The sequence below is a fragment of the Homo sapiens genome, chromosome 14 (genome assembly GCF_000001405.40).
Source record: "Homo sapiens chromosome 14, GRCh38.p14 Primary Assembly".
In the NCBI taxonomy this organism is placed as follows: domain Eukaryota; kingdom Metazoa; phylum Chordata; class Mammalia; order Primates; family Hominidae; genus Homo; species Homo sapiens.
The window spans coordinates 75,731,594-75,754,920 of record NC_000014.9 but is presented as its reverse complement, the minus strand read 5'-3'; the positions used below and the strand labels follow the sequence as shown (position 1 = coordinate 75,754,920).

The window sequence follows — 23,327 nt, the reverse complement described above, 5'->3', positions numbered from 1 at the left end:
GCCTCAAGAAAGAATGCAGGCAATATACAAACTTGGATAGAAAAAAACTTACATCCTCTAACTGAAATTTAGCATTTCCTCCATATAAATGTAGGAAACTATCCACAGTAGTGGATTAATGTGACTTCATTACCAAAAGAAATAATGCATCTTTCTTCATATTATTTTAGAATTCTTACAACTATTTTGAAATACTGTCAATATTTATCACTGTTTGAAATTACGGTAGGTATTAGATCTGCTGCTAGCTCTTACTATTTAATATGTTAACAAAGAGGCACACATATTATTATACCTCAAATTGTTTATTTTTTGCTACTCCTAGGCAGATACTTCCTCATTTTGGCTAATGCAGTGGTCCCCAGAATGCCTACTCTGCCCTCCTTCCCCTTCCTGGGAAATTCAAGTATAGAAAGATCCAGCCTCAAGTGCAGTGTCCATGTCAGTTCAGAAACAGACCTATATAACCTGTGAAGCAAACTACCTGTCTTAAGCAAACAGTTCATTACTTCTAAATATGACTGGACAAAGATCACCATACATTTGCAGATATATAGAAGTTAAAACTAGAAAGAATAAGATGAATAAATACAACTAATCCAGAAGAATTAAAATAATGCAAAAAACAGAAAGGAACTTTAAACAATCTAAAATAGAGATCTGAAAAGACATTACATCCATGAAATACTAAAACTAATCGAAAAGCAAAAATAGTTCTTGTATATTAAAAACACACTTGCCAAAATAAAAAACTTAATTAAACACCCCTATCCTGTGTGGGAAATAAATAACAATATAGATATGGTTGAAGATTAATTTAGTTTTGGAAGACAAAATCCAAGAAATCTCCAAGAATTTAAGGCTAAGAAGCAAAACCAAAAGTTTAAAAACAGTAAAGAAATATGGAGGTTATAGCCAAAATTTATCTAACAGGAATTCCACAAGGAGAGAAAAGAAAGGATAAGGGAAATACTTCCCACAGCTGAAAGACTGAAAGGCCGCACTCACTGCATAACCAAAATAATGAAAAATGACGTATCAGAACACATCCTGGCAAAGTATCTAAACTCTAAAGATAAAAGAAACCTTGTAAAAGTTTTCATAGAGGGGAGGAAAAACCCACAGGTTTTATACATATAAAGAAATGAGATTCTGTCTTCTACGTAAATCCAAAGATCTCTTTCTTTAGAATCTACACAATGTGATTAATCAATCGTAATTACCACAAATTTACAGAGACAAATTGCAAATCCCATGTATTTCCTGATAGTAGATCATGAAATTGCAGATGGTTAAAACATGGGTATCTATTTTAAGAATCCTTCAAAAACGTACATATATCCTCAAAATAATATAGGTTTCTCTAAATAACTAGGGTGCCTTATTTTGATAATCAATTAATGAACTGTACTGCAATGCAGTTATGTTTCAGGGGCTACAAAAGTATGTGGGACTAAGCAGCCCTGATTGCTGTGCTATTTAAATTCCAATGTCTGTTTTCCATCATTTCCATTTTCCCTTGTACTGAGATTATCAGTTGTCATTTCTTATAAAAGTTTCAGTGTATTTATTTTACGAATTACCTCCCCTCCACTTTTTCCAATCTGATAATTCTAGTATCTTCAGGTCTAGAAAAACAGATAATCGTGTCTATTAAAACTGCATCTAAAATATAATGGCACTAAGTAAAGGCCTTCCTTAAAGAAGAATAAAGTTTAAGGCATCTGTTAAAATTGCTCAAAGATCTTTATAGTTAAATTTTTGTCTTTTGGAAATGTTACAAAGTGCTGAGAGTTCATGATAAATTCTGGAAAAATGAGTCATGATAGCATGCTTTCTACAGGACTTTTTTTTCTAGCAGAGATTTTACATAAAGACTTTTATAAGGTCTGTTTCCTTCTTTGACATGTACTTTCTGTTAATCTTGTGATCTAGTCCTAAATTTAAAGTTTAGCAAATCTCTACCTGTCCTGGAAGAGGCGTGTTGCCAGCATATAGTTCATTGAGGTCTTATGCTCGAGGTAGGACCTGAAAAGCAAAGAAAGAAACTGGTTATTTCTTAAGCTAGTTCAAGAGGAAAATGTAGAAATACAACCATGAATCAAGCACAGAAATAACAGGGGTACTTATATACTGTTTTTAATGAAACATACTGTTTCTAAAGTGGCAAAGGAAAAGACAGTTGCTCAAATTTAAATCGTAAGATACTAGAATAGAAACAAATAGAATAAAAAGAATATGGAAAAAGAGGATTTAATGTAGAAAACAGAAAGAAAAACCAGCATTTCTTGGATTAATAATAGGTAATATACTAAATTCAGAAAATAAGACTGAAAGATAAAAGAAAAATTAACAAAAATTTATATATAGGTCAAATGAAACTGGGAATAGGAGATGCATAAAGGGCCTGAAAATGTAGATAAGAGACTGTTTCAATCATGTTATTCCCAAATTAAGAGCTTTCAGTGGCTCCTCGATGTCTACTGCTTAAGGCAAATACTTTCTCTTCCAAACTTTCAAAAGTTGGATCATCTGTAACATCAATTCATTCACACTTTCTCCACACAGTTGCCCAACACGGATCCTGCAGTACAGTCAGCCAAGTCTCCTTAGAATCCTCTTGTCAGAGGCATTTGAACCAGAGCAACTCCATCTTGAACAGGGGCTGGGTAAAATGAGGCTGAGGCCTACTGGGCTGCATTCCCAGATGGTTAGGAATTCTAAGTCACAGGATGAGACAGGAGGTCTGTACAAGATACAGGTCATAAAGACCTTGCTGATAAAACAGGTCGCAGTACAGAAGCTGGCTAAAACCCACCAAAACCAAGATGGCAGTGAGAGGAACAATGGTTGTCCTCACTGCTACACTCCCACCAGCACCACGACAGTTTACAAATGCCATGGCAATGTCAAGAAGTTACCCTACATGGTCTAAAAAGGAGAGGCATGGATAATCCACCTTATTTCTTGATTGTTTAGCATACAATCAAGAAATAACCATAAAAAGGGGCAACCAGCGGCCCTCGGGGCTGCTCTGCCTATGGAGCAGCCATTCTTTTATTCCTTTACTTTGTTAATAAACTTGCTTTCACTTTACCTTATGGACTCACCAGAATTCTTTCTTGTATAAGATCCAAGAACCCTCTCTTGGGGTCTGGATCGGGATCCCTTTCCAGTAACACTCTCTCACCTCCCACTGATCTTTTGCCTCTGACTGGTTATCTTCTCCCCATATCTCCTCTACATCTATACAGTGGTCCTCCCTCATGTTTCAGTTACCCACAGTGAACGAAAGACTGAAAATATTACATGGAAAATTCCAGAGATAATTCATAAATTTTAAATTATGCACTGTCCTGAGGAGCGTGATGAAATCTCATGCATTCTGCTCTTTCCCACCAGGAATGTGGATCATCCCTTTGTCCAGCGTCTCTGCACTGTAGACACTCCAGGCCCATGAATCACTTAGCAGTGTTTGTGTTCAAAGAATCCTTATTCTACTTAATAATGGCCCCAAAAGATAAGAGTAGTGAGGCTGGCAATCTGCATATGCCAAAGAGAACTGTAAAGTGCTTCCTTTCGGTGAAACGGTAAAAGTTCTTGACTTAAGGAAAAAGAAATCACATGCTGGAGCTGCTAAAATAAGAACAAATTTTCTATCCATGACATCGTGAAGAAGAAAGAAATTCATGCTAGTTTTGCTGTCACACCTCAGATTGCAAAAGTGATGGCCACAGTGCATGATAAGTGCTCAGGTGGAAAAGACATTACATTTTGGGGTGGAAGACGTGAGCAAGTGACAGCAGTGTGTCACACCAGAAAGCACTGAGCCCATACAAAGACTTCAGCAAGGGATCTGAAATGAGTGACACCAAGCCATTTACTGCAAATAAGGGATGGTTACACACATTCAGGAATACAAAAGGTCAACAGTAGCCTAACACCACGTCACAATGCCTATGGCGTTCACCTCACTTCATCTCATCTCACTGTACCATCTCATATCATCACAAAAGGAAGGGTAAGTACAGAACAATAAGATATTTGAGAGGCCACATTCACATAACTTGTATTACAGAATATTGTTTTAACTGCTCTATTTTATTATTAGTTACTATTAATATCTTACTGTGCCTAATTAATAAATTTAACTTTATCATGGGTACATATATAGTAAAAAACATAGTATATATAGTTGACCCTTGAACAATGTGGGGTTTAGGGGCACTGGCCCTGCCACAGAGTCAAAAATCCGCATATAACTTTTGCTTCCCCAAAAAAGTTAATTACTAATAGCCTACTGTTTACCAGAAGCCTTATCAATAACACAAAAAGTGGATTAACACGTATTTTGCATGTTATATGTATTACATACTGTATTCTTACAATAAAGTAAGCTAGAGAAAATAAAATGTATTAAGAAAATCATAAGGAGGAGGAAGAAGATCTAGTTGCTGTCTCGGGGTGGCAGAGGTAGAAGAGAATCCATGTATAATTTTACTTCAAATCCATGTTGCTTAAGGGTCAACTGTTTGGTACTGTCCACAGTTTCAGGCATCCACAGGGGCTCTTGGAAGGTATCCTCCGCTGATAATCCTCTGCTGATAAGCAGTTTTCTACTGTACTACACCCTTCAAAAAGCAGGTCAAGTCCACCCTGCTGTACAAAGCCTTCCCTGATATGCCCTAACGTGTCTTTACTGTATGCCTAAGGACCTCTCATAACCTGTGCCTACAGAGCAAACTTTTTGTTCTAGGAAAGCTGTATGATGCAGCAGGAAAAAAGTAGATCTAGATCAGAATATCTGACCCAAGTCTCACTGTGTGGTTACGGACAAGTCACATTGTTTTACTGAGCCTTAGAATCCCTGTCATTAAAATGTGAGTGAAACAATGAAGTATACAAAGTACATTAAAATTACAAAAAGCTATACAAATATGAGCTATTCTTATTATTAAGATTATTATTAGGAATAAAGTAATAAAGCTATTCTTATTATATGTGTAAATAATTTTCCATAAACATACTGTTAACTCTCAACTGACAGGGAGCCCACCTAATATTTATTTTATACACCAAAGAACCAAGCATAATGTAGACATTTGTTGATAATATATGTGTACTAATAAAATAGCATATTTGTTAGTAGATAAACATACCTCCCACATTCTATGTAAAGGCAGTTCAATTAATATTAATTGAGCCTCTTTTCTCAGAACGCACCAAGAGAGTTAGAGTAACTTACCAATGTGATTGGTAATTTAGGAAAAATAAACAGAAAATGATGCACTGAGCACCTCTCTTTTTTCTCCTGGGAGCTAATCCCCACTTAGGAAATACATATCCTCTACTGCTCCTATAGGGTCAGCACTCCCCATACATGGCTCAGACCAACCTTGCTTACAATAGGAATATAAGTCCGTCCAATTCTGAAGCTCAACAGGAAGTGCATTTGCTTGTAGACAGTTACAATCAATTCCCCCAACCTAGACTTTATCAGTAAAAAATACAGTATTTTGGTTTCTATCTATTTTAGTCCTTGTTTTATTTCTCAACTAGTTCAAAACCAACCTAGTAAAGAAAGGTATCATTGTTGGACTTCCTTAAGAGACCTCAAGATTATTTGTAATTGATTCCATAGAAAAAGATACTCAAAGTAAGGTCCTATATCTTGAAATACTCAAAAGTAAATGGTCCCCCTTTCATTAATTAAAAGATACACTTTCTAGGAAATGCAAAAATTCAAATTCTTTAAAAAACATTTCAAAAGATATACATATATATATAATTTTCAAGAAAACCCATGTAATATTTTTCTGTTGAACTCCTAGGTCTTCATAAGGTATAACTACATGAATAGCATATTTTAAAAGATAAAAGGACGATTTCTCTATGAACAGCTAGGTTTTCAAAACAAGCAGGCAAATTTTTAAAAATGGCTTTTTCTTTTATTTCTCTAAGTTCTACCTCTATACTTAGAACCACGAACATCCCAACTAGGTCAAAATGCAGTCACCAGAGGAAGAAAGTGTGTTGCCTATAAACAAGTACAAAGAGTGTCAACCTTACTAGAAATCACAGAAATGCAAATCAAGACCAAAATAAGATATTTTACTCCCATTAGATTGACAAAAATTAAGAAGTCTGACAGTACTGCAATTGGAGAAGATACAGATCAACAGACTCTCTTATGCATTGCTGATAGTTTACATAGCCACTTTGGAAAACAATTTAGCTTTATCTTTTTTCCTAAAGCATTACCTTTTAAAGCTTAACATTCACATGTCTTAAGGCACTGAGCCTATACAAAAACTTCAGCAACGGATCTGAAATGAGTGGCACCAGGCCATTTACTGGCTCACATATTTTAAGGCCCAGTAATTCCACTCCTAGATACATGCCCAGCAGACACATACAAGAATATCTGCACCACAGCTGTCCTTAACAGCAAAAGACCAGAAAGAAGTCAAATACTTAACAACAGGAGAACAGAAAAATTAACAGCAATATAAACACACAGTAAATACAAAAGCATTGAAAAAACTGTACTGTAACTATATGTAACATGAACCTGAATTACAAAATGCTGAATGAAAAAAGCAAAAATACATAGAACATGTCTTTTTTTTTTTTTTTTTTAAGAAAAAGTTTAAAAGTGATTCAAACAAAACAATAGAATTCTGCTTCTATACATGAGAGGATAACTGTTACAGGACACGCTCTCCTACCATAAACAGCTAGAAAAGTTTACAAGTTATTTGAAATAACTGTTTTCAGACATTAAACAACTGGCAGCACAGGACTGTGATCTCTGACAGAGGGAAATACACGAAGTACAACTGCCCTACATTTCTGCCTAAAGGCAATTTCCAGACTACACAGACAGAGAGGAAATGCAAATAGAGCCCAACTGTCTCTGAAAAGAGACAAGAGAAATCTAATTTCTAGGGAGTAGCTAGAATTTTCAGAGCAATGTCCTGGAGAAGAAGTTGTGCAGAAGAAGATATTCAAAAATCATCATGAGGGACCCCTTGAATGTTTGGGTGAATACAAATCTGCTTAGGTATAGGGTGAAAGTCCACAAGGCTGAGCAAAGTGCAACTATCAGGATAAAGAACAAATTAAGGAGAAGGTAAGGTGTAAGCTGAATAATTCCCAGAGCTCACATGAGGTTGCAAATTGAGTTCCCACCAGACAGAATGAAAAGATCTCATTGAACGTGGAGGTAATTTAACAGACACCTCAAAAGACTCTTTAGTGGAGGAACTAACCTGGATCTAGACAAAAAGCTACTATAAACAAACCATAACAATGCTTAAAAATAAGCCTGAAAAAGATAAGCTGATCTACAAGTAACTTAAGTGCCTGACCAAAAAAAAAAAAATTCAAAAGGGTTTAAAGAAGGCAATAAAATCCAAACACTCAACAATATAACATCTGCAATGTCTAGCATTCAATTAAAAAAATTACTGTACATGTGAAGAAACAAAAATGTGACCCATAAACATGAGGAAAACCAGTCAATAGAAACAGACCCCAAAATGACAGATAACAGAAAAAGGTATTTTAAAACATTTATTACAAATATTATAACATGTAAACAAAAATGTAAAGGAAATCATGAACATAATGAAAAAGAGAAAAAGGACACACAAAAACTGATGAAAAATAAAATATCTGAAATGAAAATTTCACTGGGTAGAATTAATAGAGGACTAGGCACTGCAGACAAAATGATGAATGACCTTAGAGACACACAGAAATACAAAACCATCCCAAATTAAGGAAAGCAAGAAAAAAAAAGTCTGAAAAAACATGAGCACAGCCAGATTTGTGGTAAAATATAAACTAAGTTAACATGTAACCAGAGTCCCAAAAGAAGACAGGAAAGGAGAAAATTAGAAAAAAATATTTGAAGAAATAAAGGCCAAAAGGTTTCCAAATTTGAATAAAACTATAAGCCCATAGATGAAGAAGCTCAATGAATCCCGAGCACAAGAAACATGAAGAAAATGACACCAAGGCACATCATAATCAAACTGCTGAAAATCAGCTGTGACCAAGCACGGTGTCTCACGCCTATAATCTCAGCACTTTGGGAGGCCAAGGCAGATGGATCACTTGAGCCCAGGAGTTCAAGATCAGCTTGGGCAACATGGGGAGACCCCATCTCTACAAAAAAATACAAAAATGAGTCATGCACAGTGGCATGTACCTGTAGTCCTAGCTACCTGGCAGGCTGAGGTGGCAGGATAGCTTGAAGTGGAGCCCAGGAAGCCAAGGTTGCAGTAAGCCAAGATTGTGCCACTGCATTCCAGTCTGGGCAACAAAGTGAGACACTGTCTCCAAAAAAAAAAAAAAAAGAAAAGAAAAGAGGAAATCAGTTATAAAGAGATAATCCTAAAAGCAAGCTGGGAAAAAAAGACATTATGCATAGAAGAACAAAGACAATAATTGCTGTATGCTTCTCATCAGAAAAACGCAAGCCTGAAAATGACGAAAAGACATTTTAAAGGTGCTGGGAATTGTACATGAATGGTCACAGCGGCTTTCTTCAAAAGAGACCATAACTGAACACAACCCAAATGTCTACAAAAGATGAGTGGTATATTCTGGTATATTCAACAAATTCTGGTATATTCAAACAATGACATAGTATATAATAATAATAATGAACTATTCTTCATAAACCAACACATATGAATATGAAAAACACTACGCTGAACAAAAGAGTCCAGATACAAAAGAGTACATACTGTATGATTCCATTTATGTGGAACTGTAGAAAAACTGTAATGTCAGAAGGCAGGTCATAATGTCTGAAGCCCAGGGTCATGTGGAGGATTGAATATAAAAGGGGATAAAGAGGGCTACGAGGGTGATGGAAATATTTTATATCTTCATTGTGGCAGTAGCAGTGGTTAAACTGGTGCCTATTGTTGCCAAAAATCATCTTCAAACTGTACATTTAAAATAGATGCATTTTACTGCATATAAACTAGATCTCAATAAAACAATATATTGCTTAGATACACATATAGATAAACAATTTTTTTTTTCAAATCAAGGTAATGATAAACACAAAGTTTAGGACAGTCCCTAACCCTGGGATAGGAAGCTAGTTAGGAGGGAGGCAGAGGATTAAAAGGGAGAAATAATACACAGGTATATTAAATTACTGTCAATAATCTAGTTCTCGGGTTGGATAATATTTATCATATTATAAATAAACAAAATAAGAAAAGCATCATCGGGGGGAGCAGTGATGACAGTGTATCACAATTAATCTAATTCTATGGACCTCAGGTAAAGAATAAAAAAAAAAGGTAGTCACCTCACCCATATATTTCCCATGTCTCAGATGTAGGAAATATGCGAATAAATCCACCTCGCCGATCATTCTCCTCCTTCACCCTTCGTAAAACTTTGATCTAGATGAAAAATAAGATAAAATGAGTACCTATTTTGAAAACCGGAGTCCATGTGGCTATAGGACAAAGGAAGATAGTTATGACCCAAGAATATGAAAGTAGCATGAAGGGAGAAATTAATTCCATTTAAAATGTTCTTCCCTGAGAAAACATTTCTCCAATCTTGAATCTTTCTCTTTTCAATGTAAGACATGAGTTTGTCATGAATATTATCAATCACTCACTAATTTTCACTAAACCCTGTGTTAACCCACAAAAGCCTAAAATGAACTTATCTTTACCTCCTCCATTGACAGACCAAGCACAGAACCACCCAACTTCCCTGGCCCTTTCTCCCGGGCTGAGCCCACGAGGTTTTTCATTTCCGCATCACTGGCAGAGAGTGGACGGCAACGCTAAGGAGAAGAAAATGAAAATAGTAAAAAAAATTTTTTAAGTTTTCATTACTCCTCATTACCCTCTGTTCATTCCCTCAACATCATTATTTTTCTAAAGATTTATAAGCTCAAATTCATAGCCCACTTTCTGTAATTAATCTCAGCCTGGAACCCTGGAAAACAGACGAAAGCTAATAAACTCAAAGGCAAGAGGAGAAAACAGAACAGTAAAAGAACACTATGGGTTGAGAGAGAAAAGAGAAGAAAGAAAGAATGAGGTCCACGTGACTTTCTAAGCTAGTATTTAACCCAAACCTTGGTTTTAGAGCACATCCAATATTTCAAGGATATGGAAAAATCTGAAGATGCCCTCAATAGAAAAATAAATGTGTATTTATTTCAGTGGGTATATTTTTAGCACAGGAGATGAACAATTAAGAGAATTGAGACATAAGACACAAAACCAAGGAACAATCTATTATATCACAAATGAAAAAGTTGGGCTGTGAAATGTTTTACAATTTGAGGGGGAAATATTGAGATGAGAGACATCAGTAACACAGAAAAGAGCTGTGGCCAAAAGGCTATCACTGTGGTTGCTGGACTTCAAGAGGCCTGGCACAAACGTGACTACCCTGGGTACTCCAAGAAGGCAGCCAAATGGGCCCTGTCCATCACTGATCCCAGAAGAGGATCTTGGCTATTTCAGCTTCTACATGATGATGAGGGAGGTCATCTGAAAACACAAGTTTTAAGTGATTTTGATTTTATGCGAGTGGAGAAATAGGAAGGTAAAAAAGGAAGTCAGTATAAAAGCATAATAATACACTATTATTGAAATAGATGAAGTGACAGACAAAAATAAGACAAATCTGCCAAGTACAAAAAGTAAGAAAGAATTCACCCACATGGGTGCAAATTGTCCTCTTGATTCTTAGAAGTAACTTCAACCAGAGAGCAGCAGCCCCATTGTCACGAGGTATTATTTCTCTCTCTCTATTTGTAGAATATCTATTCAAAGGCATTGTGGTAACTAACTTTTGGCCTTTTTAGCAACACCCGTTGTTATGGACTGAATGTTGGTTTCTCTCAAAAATTCTCATGTTGAAGTCCTAACCTCCAATGTGACAGCATTTGGAGATGGGACTTTTGGAAGGTAATTAAAGTCAGATGAAGTCATGAGAGTGGGGCCCTGGTGTAATGGGATTAGTGTCCTTATAAGAAGAGATGGTGGCTGGGCACGGTGGCTCATGCCTGTAATCCCAGCACTTTGGGAGGCCAAGGTGGGCAGATCACAAGGTCAGGAGATTGAGACCATCCTGGCTAACACGGTGAAACCCCATCTCTACTAAAAATACAAAAAATTAGCTGGGCGTGGTGGCGGGCACCTGTAGTCCCAGCTACTCGGGAGGCTGAGGCAGGAGAATGGCGTGAACCCAGGAGGCGGAGCATGCAGTGAGCTGAGATCACGCCACTGCACTCCAGCCTGGGCAACAGAGCAAAACTCCGTCTCAAAAAAAAAAAAAAAAAAAAAAAAGAGCGATGCCAGAGAGTTTGATCTCACTCTCTCTCCCCCAGACCCCAGCTAGTATGTGTACAAAGAAGAGGTCATGTGAGCATACAACAAAATGGAGACCTATAAGCCAACAGAAAAAAGACTTAGAATGAAGCCTATCTTGCCGGCACCTCGGACTTCTCAGCCTTCAGACTGTGAGAAATAAATTTCTGTTGTTTAAGCCACCCAGCCTATGGCATTTTGTTATGACAGCCTGAACAGACTAATATATTCATGTACACAAATAACCAACCATGGATGGTTTTATCTTTGGACACAAGAGAGACCAACTAACCAATCTCCAAAGCTAGCATGGGAGTTATAAAAGCTAAATTTTCTGATTGGCAACTCCATGATGGATATCTATATCAAGAAAACGATGAAATCAACAGATGTAAGCAACATGTGAAGTGCAGGGGCTTTTACTGTGGTATCTTCAACATCCAGAACAATACACTGTACTTGGCATGAAGTCAATCAAGAAATATTGGTTGAACAAACAAATACGTGAAAGTGCTGACATCAATCATGGCTAGAAGTAAACTTTGCAGAAGGATTTTGGGAAATATTTTTACTTCCTCAATCTCTGGGAATAAATTAAACAGTAGATGTTAAAATGAGAGGGTTTATAGGGGAAAGTTGAAAGATTTAGGAAGGAAACAAATATAAATAATATAACCATTGTTTATAAATCTTTAAAAAGTGTGAACACTTATTTAATGTATAATTTGGAAAAAGTCAAAAATATTAAATGGATAGTTTGATGACTTTTCTCATGATCACACACTACTTATTGTTTGCCAAAAAATACTTACCTAGTTCACCCATCACAGCATGTCTCTGATCATAAAGCCACTGGCAAAGCCTGGTGTGGTGGCTCACACCTGTAATCCCAGCACTTTGGGAGGCCAAGGCGGGTGGATCACCTGAGGTCAGGAGTTCGAGACCAACCATGGCCAACATGGTGAAACCTTGTCTCTATTCAAAATACAAAATTAGCTGGGCTTGGTGGCACATGCCTGTGGTCTCAGCTACGTGAGAGGCTGAGGCAAGAGAATCGCTTGGACCCTGGAAGCGGAAGTTGCACTGAGCCAAGATTGCCCCATTGCACTCCAGCCTGGGTGACAAGAGCAAAACTCTGTCTCAAAAACAAAACAAAACAAAACAAAACAATAAAGCCACTGGCAGTCAGTCCTCTACAGTTAAGTAGCTTTCTTACATGACACTATTTAAGGGCCTCAAATCTCAAATTACGTAAAGAGAGAGTAAGAAACAGCCTCAAATCTCAAATTACGTAAAGAGAGAGTAAGAAACAAACATTCATTTAAATGATATAATAAAAATAGGTATCTTTATTAAGCATTTAAGAACAGAAAGAATGTTACTTAGAAGGTTGATAAACTAAAAGCTATATCAAAGGTCAATTAAAAGTACTTAAAGAAAAAGTTATTAACTATTAAACAGATTAAGGAATGCATGGCTGTATTTAAAAGAACAGGGGTCAAATCACTATTGAATGACATCTAATGAGAACTTCCAATTCCTGGGTATTGTTTTTAATGGTTTTTTTAATATTCCTGGCTTCTAGAAATTGAGATAATGATGTGGCAACCTTCTCCTACTAACCTAATGTGGTTTCTGTAACCAATGAATTAGCACCCCAAAACTCTTAAAACTTCTCTGCCAATCACTTTCAAAGACTTGTCTCCCATATACATTCACAACCACTCCTTTGTTACAGCCTACAATTCTAGGTCTAGCTACTGTGTACATTATTTGTGAATGTTTGGGGTCGGGTAGAGGCATGTAGGAATTCAGGTCTGTGCTTCTAGTTGGGGTATTTAAGAGCTCTGAGAAAGGTCTCTAATTCTGTGACCTGAGTTATAGACACAGGTGAAAGAAAAGGTAGAGAAAGAGAGAAGGGAAGAAGAAAGGATAAGATGGACAGAAAAAAAGAAAATAAATGCTTATGAGTGTCAAGGAGACACACTTGGAGATTAAAAACAAAGCAAAGTTAAAAAAAAAAAAAAAGGAATCAGACTGATTTGAAAGGCCACCAAGACTATCAAAAACAAGGGCAAAACAGTCCAAACGCAAGTCATTCTGCAGCTTTGCCTTTGGGCACATCAACTACATTCTCTGGGTGGTAGATATAATAAATCCACATATTCCCATGAGTTGACTGAATGCACTAAGGAAGTAAGGTCCTCTGAACTTAGAGAGGAGAACCATTGCCTCTGGCTAAAAGATACATGATTTAGATATCCAGTGCTCAGATAAATTATAAACTGTCAAATTACTGTCAAGAATTCTGCCATGCAACATGCACCAAGGATAAAGATGAATTTATCAATAGTACAACTTACGATTCAGAAATCTTCCCAGAGAAGAAACCTTACATATCTAACCATCATTGCTAAGGAACAACTGGCTGAAAGTGTGAAATTATTGAGACAAGGAACCACCAGTCTCCACTCAATCAAAGTAGTAAGAAACAGATGTTGAATCAGAAAATGACTCTCAGCCTTTAAAAAGCTGGCAAGTACCAATGATGAGAAGAACTTAACAAAATGTGGAATGGGGAAAAATGGCAAGATATCCTAAGACTATGTCATAATTGAGGGGCAAAAACAAAATTTGCTTGACAGAGAACACATGCAAAGAATAAAAATCTCCCAATGCAGTTTTACAAAGTTTGGAATTCTTCATTAAAAGCAAAGGAACTAGAAATAGCTCAATTTATATGTGATACATTTTACCATCTAAAAAACAACAGGTAAAATCAAGTTTAAAAGTAAAATGAATGCTATCAAATGAAAGAAAACAAATGGAAAAGACCACATTATCAATAAATCTGAATGGAAATGGACCAAAAAAATGGCTTCTAAGAGAAGGTTTAAACATACTGATAATCAGGGTATACTTTGAAATTGGCAGGTGGAGGGGAGAAAGCAAGTAGGCTTGTGTAACAGCATCTAGAAATTTGGAATAAATGTAAGCCAGCAGGTCTGAGAGACATGCATCCTGTTATTAAGGAAATTGGCTTTAAAAACAAACAAAACTTACCCAAACCACTTATAATTATGTTTGAAAAATCATGAAGAACTGAGGAGGTACCAGTTTAGAAAAAAACCAAATGAGGTACTAATCTTCAAAAATGTAAGAAGTATGCTCCTGGTGGTTACTGCCTGGTAAACCTAACTCGAATCCCTAGTAAAATAATGGAACAAATATTAAAAGGAAAAAATCCCTAATAACTTAGAGGATAATGGGCTTATGAAGAATAGTATGAAGAATGCTTTATTTTAAAACATGCTTTAAAAGTTTCATTTTTAGGACAAGATTTTTAAAAGGGGAACTATAGCAATATATTAAATGTCTTTGGATTTTAGAGAAGCATTTGAGAAAATTTCACAAAATTTTTATTCTAAATTATATTTCCAGTTAGGGGTTAGTGCCAGAATATAACACATCAACAAACACTGAAAACAGTGTAACTGCAAGATAAATAGCAGTGAATCAAGTTAGAAAGTGATTTCTGGAATGGGTATTAACTAAGCATTATTTAGAATCTTCATTAACATCTGGAAGGAAAAACAAAATAGCATTTGTGGATGATGGCAAATGTGAAAAACATGACTACAAACAGGTGAATATCAAAATAACAAGAGATCTTGACAATGGGAAAATCAAAAGACTCAAAAGTGTGAAGGGGAGTAAATCTTCTTAGTGTAAACTACATGTCTAGCACTTATCCTGAATATTTTACCTCCATTTTATCATTTCTTCCTCACTGTAACTTCATGTATATATTATTATCCCCATATGACAGATGTGGGAATTGAGCCTCAGAGAGGTAAGAGAACTTGCCCAAAGGTCTAATTGCTAGTTTTTGGCAGAGCTCAAATTTGAATCCAGGTCTATCGGACTGTAAAAGTCCATATTCTTTCCACAGTACCATGCCATACAATTTCTGGTGAGTGGAAAATTTGAACCATAGACATTAAAGAGAAAGGAGAAATATAGAGATAATGGTTTAAAAAGGAAAAGGCAGAAAAAGGGCAAAGGACTAAGAGAATTCACAATCTGACAGCAACAGAAAAAGAAAGCTTGACACAGTCTAACTGGTCAGAACAAAGAAATTTTTTTTTTTACTTAGCTCCAATGAAAATACTGTGAAGTTAAGAGTGCTTCGTTAACAGAAAGACAATGACAAAATAGAACATTGCAAAGTACAATAAAAGTCAAAGAATTCAACATGTATAAAGCTGGCTGAATAAAGCCAGAAAGGCTTTATGTCACGTAAGCAAGTATTCAGATACATTACTACTAAAGAGAGGTCTTGCTCTCCAACAAGCCTATTACAACCTACGGTAATTCAAGCAATGCAACTAGATGTAATGGAATTAAAATTGATAATGAGAAATTAAGATTAGAATTACATATCAAAGGCCGGGCATGGTGGCTCATGCCTGCAATCCCAGCACTTTGGGAGGGCCGAGGCAGGCAGATCGCTTGAGCTCAGGAGTTCCAGACCAACCTGGGTAACAGGTCAAAACCCTCATCTCTACCAAAAATACAAAAAATTAGCCAGGCATGGTGGTGTGCACCTGTAGTCCCAGCTAATCAGGAGGCCAAGGTGGGAGGATCACCTGAGCCCAGGAAGTCCAGGCTGTAGTGAGCTGTGATCGCGTCACTGCACTCCAGCCTGGGTGATGGAGTGACACGCTGTCTCAAATAAGTAAGTAAAAATAAATTAGAATTACCTATCAAAGACACTTCTTTACAGTCAAATGCCACAGGCTATGAAAGAGTACCCCTTTCCTAACGTACTCCTTTCAGTACATTAGTTCCAGGTATATTTAGAATATAAGCTCTTTGAAGTCAACAGCATTATTTTGTTTTGTTTTCTGCCATGGGAGCAACTAGCATACTTAGGTATTTACTAAATATAAAATACTACATATTATAGAGTTTCGAATTCCACCAACTAAGCACCAAAACTCATACTACAGAGCCACATTAATCAGTTACTAAATATTAGACAAGGCATCCAGTAAGTTATTTTTCATTTCTTGGATTCACATAAACCATATAAATCACTTTATCAGAAACAGTAGCTAAGAAAAGTTACATGTCAAGCATTCAAGCTTACCAGAAATTGCATCAGAGAGTACAAACGCCAAAATAAATATACTGGAGCTTTTTGCTAAACAACAGTTGCAGTGACACGTTTATATATGAGAATATCTATATCCCTCATACTAAAGCATCAAATAGCAGGCACAGGACCCCCACTGCTAGCCTATTACTTCAAAAAGAATTTTTTAAATCTGTGCAGAAGAAAGCAATGGTTAATCTCAAATACTGCTAACAAAAACAGTAAGAAAGCAAATGCTGATCATTCAGAAAGAAAGATGTTTGTATTTCAAAGGTAGCATCTGAGACACTATTGTGGCAGAGCTTCTAAGATTTATAAACTGCAGATCACTACATATTTGAAATGTCACCTGTTAAGGAACTCAAATACAACCCTACACCCAATGTGAAAACATTTCCAATATTAAGCTATAGACAACAGTATGTTTCATAAGATGTCTGAAAAAAAAAATTGAAGTTCATTTGTGAACTGGAAAATTTCCTTCCTGGATTATTTTGGTCAAAGTGATAGATATGCCTTCAAGCCCCTGTTCCTCATTTAAATTCAACTGTCTCCATCTCAGTATAATCACTATCAGGAAAAGAGGATCCCTAAGTTCCTGCATCCTCTACTCTTATATCCTATAACCAAAAAGACTTCTATGCATTCATTTTCATTCACTTTGTTATTAAACTGCGCAAAAAAATAGGTACATAAAAATATGTACCATGAAAAACTAAAGCTAAAAAACTTTCCATTTGGAGAATGAAAATAAAATTTGAAGAAGTCTCCAAAAGATCTAGAACTTACCTGCTTGGCCTTTGACGACTGAAACTGTGCAGATACTGGACGCTATAAAAGACAGAAAAATGGAATAAACCCTTATCTTCTCCTAATATGCCTACATTTTCCATCTCCTAGATCTATGATATAAAAAAGGAAAAAATAATCTCCAAGCAGAAACCAAAAGCAAGAGCCCTACACTTTGTGGTTGGAAGGTTAGAACATTTATTTTCTTTCACACTGCTTTCTCCTATGCCATATATATTCCAGCTTCAACTTCTCACCACTGAGGGCACAATCCTACTGCCAGATACTGAAGATCCTGAAGTCAACTAGTCCACCTGACAAACTGGTTTCACACAGTACACATGACCAATCTACAGTTCCTTTAGCCTTTATGTAAGTGTCCTGTAGGCTGCTTATGGATGTAATCATGCCATTACCTACCAGTTGGCAAAACAAGCATTGAACAGATTTTCTAGAGTTTGCAAAGAGTTGCCAATAAAGCTGACAGGCAAACTAAGAAAAGGGACCAATTCATTTAAGACTGGCAATACAGCTACCTCTAGAAGTGAAACTTGGCAGAAACTGTGTTAAAGCTGCACAGAAATGTTCATGATCCTTTATACATAATTCTGTGGTTCTTGCCACAGATACTGCAGGAAACAATTTGCAAAGGAATGTGACTGCCTAAATTAAGTTTTTCTAGTACACCTAGGTTAATCCTCTACTTTTTCTTACTAAAAATTAAAGAAAACCCTTTGATCTCTGATGATGCACTGATCAAGTACAACCCTGGTAACTGATTTTATATTTAATCCAAGATAATAGCCTTTAAAATACAGTACACCCTGTTCCACATCCCAACATTAATTAGGGAATAATTCTGCAGCACGGGGTCATAGATAGGCATAGACTGAATCTAGCTCAAAGACATGTTATGCTTGGCCTGCAAAGTATTGTTTCTAATGAAGTGGCTGCCAATACTTAAAAGTAAGATTTCTGATTTCTCTTGACAATAGCAAGATCTCATAACACCTGGCCCACACTTATGCCTGATAGTAATTAGCTAGAGCACATTAGTAAAACAGCCATCCCTTTCAGATGAGGTATGCACTCTCCAGTTTACCTCAGTCATATCACTCTTGGCTGTTTTATGCCTGCCTCTATTTACTCATTTATATTACCTGCCTGCAGGCCCTCTAAGCATTTGAGTTTGAAAACCCTGTTCTAATAAAAAATTATCTGAATAAATAATAGTATATGGATTTCGCAAACAGAAAATAGCACTACTCCAAATGAGACTAGCAAGCAAAAGGAACAAGAGCAGGAATGGGAGTGGAAGAAGGGAGGAAAAAAGTGAGGAGTAAAGGGTTAAAGTGGAGTTGGGGCAGGGATAAAAGGAGAGAAGAAAAGGAAAGAGAAAATGGGGAGTAGGAAGAAAAAGCTGCTTATGCCTTCAAAGAGCCTACAATCTGGCAGGAGAGTACAGAACAATTTAAAAGCAACAAATCAATGAATGCAAAACAATGTAATATAGAACAAGTAAATAAATGTTAAAATGAAAAGTAAAGGTGACGATGGATTTAATAAGAAAAGACTTCCAAAATGTCTGAGCAGGCAAAGCAATCAAACCAGATGGGAAGAGAAGAGCAAAGTGGATTTTTTTTTAAATAAGAAGAAATGTTAAAGGCCAAGAAACAAAAGTGGAAAATTAGCAGGGTCAAAACAGACAGGGACTGACAAGATGATGGAATGAGTAAATAGAAGGATCAGCTGATTGGTTTAACTGGAACAAAAATGCAGAGTACACAAAGACCGAAGCAATGCTTGATCAAATGATATTTTAGACAAGTATAAGTTTCTTTGGGCTTTTATCTCATTTAGCCTCAATCAATAACTCATGATCATGGAGGGTCCTTTGAGGAGAATTACTTGTAGAGAAGATACTATTTCAACAAAGCATCTTCTTTACAAAGCTAGTCTGAAGATCAGAAAGAATGCAGTAATGACTAAGAATTAATAGGCTCCTTTTCTGTGCCTTGTTTCTGAGCATATCAATCTGAGGCGGAAAAAACGTGATTTTTAAAAACAGAAAGAAGGAAGATAATGAAAAAAAGCCAAGAGAAAAGACAAAACAAAAAACAGGGAGTAAGTTTCTTGGAAAATGTTGAAAGCATAAGCTATTAGCCACAGCTGAATATAACTGCCTCCTGTCTAGAGTGATCCCCAAATTCTCCTGCTCTAAGTGACCTCATACCCACAGTGCTTCTGCTCCCACAGTTACATCAGCCGCCACTTCCCAGTAAGCCTCCTTCAGGCTCCCTGCTGTGGAATTGGCTTACCTGAGGTTTCTGGAAAGGGTTTCGCCTGGAAGACTCAAAGGTGGGATAAATTGGCCGAGTTGATGCCCGCTGGGCAGGATCTTGGCACACAAATCCTGAATGGGGAATGGGCAACATTAAAACCTGCCATTTTCTAAGAAATTAGCAGGTCTGGCTGCACCTTTTCTTTAGATACACAAACTCAGTTTCACTGTCATAAATATCACAGAGATCTATCCTCAGGAGCATAATGCACAACTCTCCCACACACACCCTCTGAACTCTGAACCACCATAACTAGAGAGAAGAAAAGGGAAATCTCCAGATGAATTAACCTTGCTGGTTGGGTAGCTGAAATGTGATTCTGAGTGAGAAAGAGATGTAGATTTTTGAAGAACTTAAGAGTAACCGCAAATTACCATTTTAAAACACACAGTTGTTAATAAAAACAAGTTACTTTAAAGTGGCTACCTGGATGATGACTGGAAAATAAAGTTATTTTTACAAAAGCAAGTGAACAGTCTCATCCTGTTACATGATCTACTTCTGGAACTGCAGAAGGTGGTCTATTGGCAACTTTCAAAATTGGCTTTGTAGATTATCTATGGCTTTGGAAATTGGACTTCAGCTAATTTCACTTACTTCCTAAAAAGAAGCAGATTCCCATCCAGGGAGAATAGAGTAGCTAAGTTTTATAGCATTCGCTGGTACATCAGGTACTAGTTCATTTCAAATATATTTTATTATGTCTTTTTATAGTACCTAAAAAAAAACCAACAAGCCCACAAAATACCCACCTGACTGCGCATCTCCACTTCAAAGTTTTGGCTTATCTACTTAAAATGAGATTTCTTCTTTGGGCTGCTTTGGTTATAACTACTACAGAAGGGATCACGTTGAGACCAGTAGAGACTGTCTAGCAGAAATATAGCCAGTCTCCTTTGCAACAAGGCTTCTTCAGTGGGTTTTACTTTCCCAGCTTGGAGAAAAATACACTTTCTCCAGATCTTTGCTAATTCTCTTCCTCAGCTCCTAATTCCTGTGCCTCAGGTCTCAGCCTTAGTTGTGGTTCAGCCTCAGGACAGGATGGAGCCAAGTGTCGTAGAAACATATAAACATTTCCCTGAAAATATAATTTTTTAGTACAAACCATTCAGCATGGCTTAGGACCTGCCAGTTGGCAAAACCTATGGAGTCTGATAAAATGGACGCTCCGGTTAATTTTTATGTGAGTCCAGTTCAGAAAATACTACTACTCACCTACAACAGTGAACATATCTGAAATCATACTGGCTTTAATCTTTAGGTCCAGAGGCGCATCACTAACAGAACAGAGAAAGAAAAGAGCAATTGATAAGTGTGTAGGTTAACAGAATAGCCGCCCTCTGATGGGTCCCAATATAGCAAAGTTTCCAAATGTCAATGAAGAGCAACACATAAAGCCCATAAAATCCACGGGGGCGGTGGGGGAAAAATCCTGGGCAAAAATATGAGAAATGAAATCCTGGTGTTAAATTCGTCCTCTGTAATGCAAACGCAGCACCATCCATTGATTCTCTAACATGCAATTTTCTTTATACCAGAAGGTCTTGTGCAATTCAAAATTTGCACAAGTCAAGAATACCACTTCATTAAAACTGTGGATTTTAGAGGTTCAGATTTTCAGTATGCTCTTTTATGAGTATGTCCACCACCATTCAAATTACTTTTTGCTGCTGCAACAGTCAAGTCACATTCACACGCAAGAGAAGCAACTCTGGCCACACTGGTACTTTTTAAAGTCTTTATTGTCTGCTCTAAAACAAATTTCTTAGGCTTGCAGGCTTGCAAATACGGCAAAAAAAGAAAAAAAAAAATACAAGTTATACCAAAATCTCACCAGATGGGCGGGAACCCACATGAAAACAAAAACAACATCGACCAAAAGCAAGAGGCCTCCCTGCGGCAGTGACGGCCACGGTGGCTTCAGTGCTGAGGTGTTCCTCCATGAACCAAACTGCTCTGGCCGCTATACTCAGTGCCTCGTTCTGGGGATTTCTCACTTTTAAAGTATAGTATAATATACTTTACTGGGCAACCTGCAAAAGGCTGACTTGACGAAAGTTGCATAACATCTGAAGCATCTGTAATATCTAGCTCTACACCTTACTATGGAGGTTAAGCCAAACTCCCACTCCAAAAGTAGTCAATCTGTCTTTATTTGATTCCTTGGCATTTTGCCAATATCTCTCATCCTTAAAAACTCAGCAGCTGGGTGGTCTTTGGCATAAATCTCTAGAGTTCTCAGTTTAGAGAAGTGTACAGCGAACAGAAATTCTGGCTGTAGCTGCAAATATAATAAGAATTTTCCCTGGTATTGAAAAATATGTTTCTTTTCTTCTAAACAATAGGTTAGTAAAAAAAAGATTTTTAAGTTGTTTGAAGTTTTTGACTTTAAACTTGGATGACTTTAAACATGAGACAGGGTAAAAGGACCACATATTATCCACATGGCCCTAGATCCAGGTTTATACCTTTATAGTGTATGTGGATTTGAACCTGTAAAACTTTCGGTAATGAAGGAAATACCTTATGTATTTCTTTACCCTTAATAGAAGACCTACTATTAAAAAAACTACAGGGATAAAACTGAATGCAAGAATCATCCCTTAGAAACCTAATAAACAGGAATGATATAATTGTAAATTGACTAGGAAGACAGAGATCCATGGTTGTCATATGCACTTTGATATTATGCCATAAACCAGCTGATTTAAGAAAGTCTGGTTATCTCCACCTAATAACTAGGAAAAAAACAGTCTTCTAGTGCCAAGAGAAATGATCAAAAAAAAAAAAGTGCTTTAAGTACTACTTGAAGATTTGTCCTTTTTTAGTTGATGGAACTGACTTACCAGGCCAAAGAAGGAGAGAGATTCACTTCCAACAACCATGGCTTCAGAGTAGAATCTATGAGCACGTCAAAGCCATAGAGTTCTAGAAATACAACACAACACAATACACAAGATCATTTTCCATGTCACAACTACACAAAGATCTAGAAGACTCAATCTCATTAACTCCCAGGCCTAGAAACTCACTGAGTGTAAGTAGCAAGTGGAAGTAGAAGCAGAGAATCTTTCAAGAATCTTTCAAGTTCAAGAGAAATTAATCAAGTTCTAGGAATAAGAAAACAATGCTATAAAATTCCACTGTTTTTATCATGCAGTGTCTATTGATGTTCCTAAATCCTACATAGAAAGCGACCTGACTCTAGAATAGTTAACAAGCACGATTCTGCTGTGCTTATGGGCGTAAAAAAAAAAAAAAAAAAGAGGCGGGGAAAGGAATGAAACAAGCACAACCAACACCAACACTGCTGTAGGCCTTCTCTGAATTTCCCTTCCCCAATCCCTCCCTGCCAACTTTGAAAACAGAAACATCTCCTGAAGGCATTTCTCTAGAATCCTTCCATCACATTTTCTTAAACCAAGATATTGCTTTTGCAACTTAGGTCAAGAAGACATATAAATGTATTTATTCTTTCCCCTCTCCTACAGTTTCAATTTCCCTTTGAAGACAGAAAATAAAACACTCTAGCCCAACATGAACCAAAAGACAGACAAGGAAAGAGAAATCAGTGGTAGCAGAGCACAGGTGTGACAAGGTATCTTTGCACTACTAATATTATTTAAGAAGGGTAGGAGCCAGAGATCAAGTTTATGGATTCTGTATTGATTC

At 36.8% G+C, this 23,327-nt stretch overlaps 1 protein-coding gene across 1 annotated transcript in view; it reads right to left on the bottom strand.

The window, feature by feature from the left end:
• The window catches only part of TTLL5 (tubulin tyrosine ligase like 5), a 293,834-nt gene that overhangs the window by 200,159 nt on the left and 70,348 nt on the right, over positions 1-23,327 (bottom strand). The window contains exons 13-18 of the mRNA NM_015072.5: positions 22,502-22,583; positions 20,871-20,932; positions 19,632-19,726; positions 9,713-9,826; positions 9,340-9,431; positions 1,966-2,028 (exon numbers count right to left, since the gene is read on the bottom strand). Of these exons, the coding sequence (NP_055887.3) occupies positions 1,966-2,028; positions 9,340-9,431; positions 9,713-9,826; positions 19,632-19,726; positions 20,871-20,932; positions 22,502-22,583 (508 nt within the window). The remainder of the gene's footprint in view (positions 1-1,965; positions 2,029-9,339; positions 9,432-9,712; positions 9,827-19,631; positions 19,727-20,870; positions 20,933-22,501; positions 22,584-23,327) is intronic.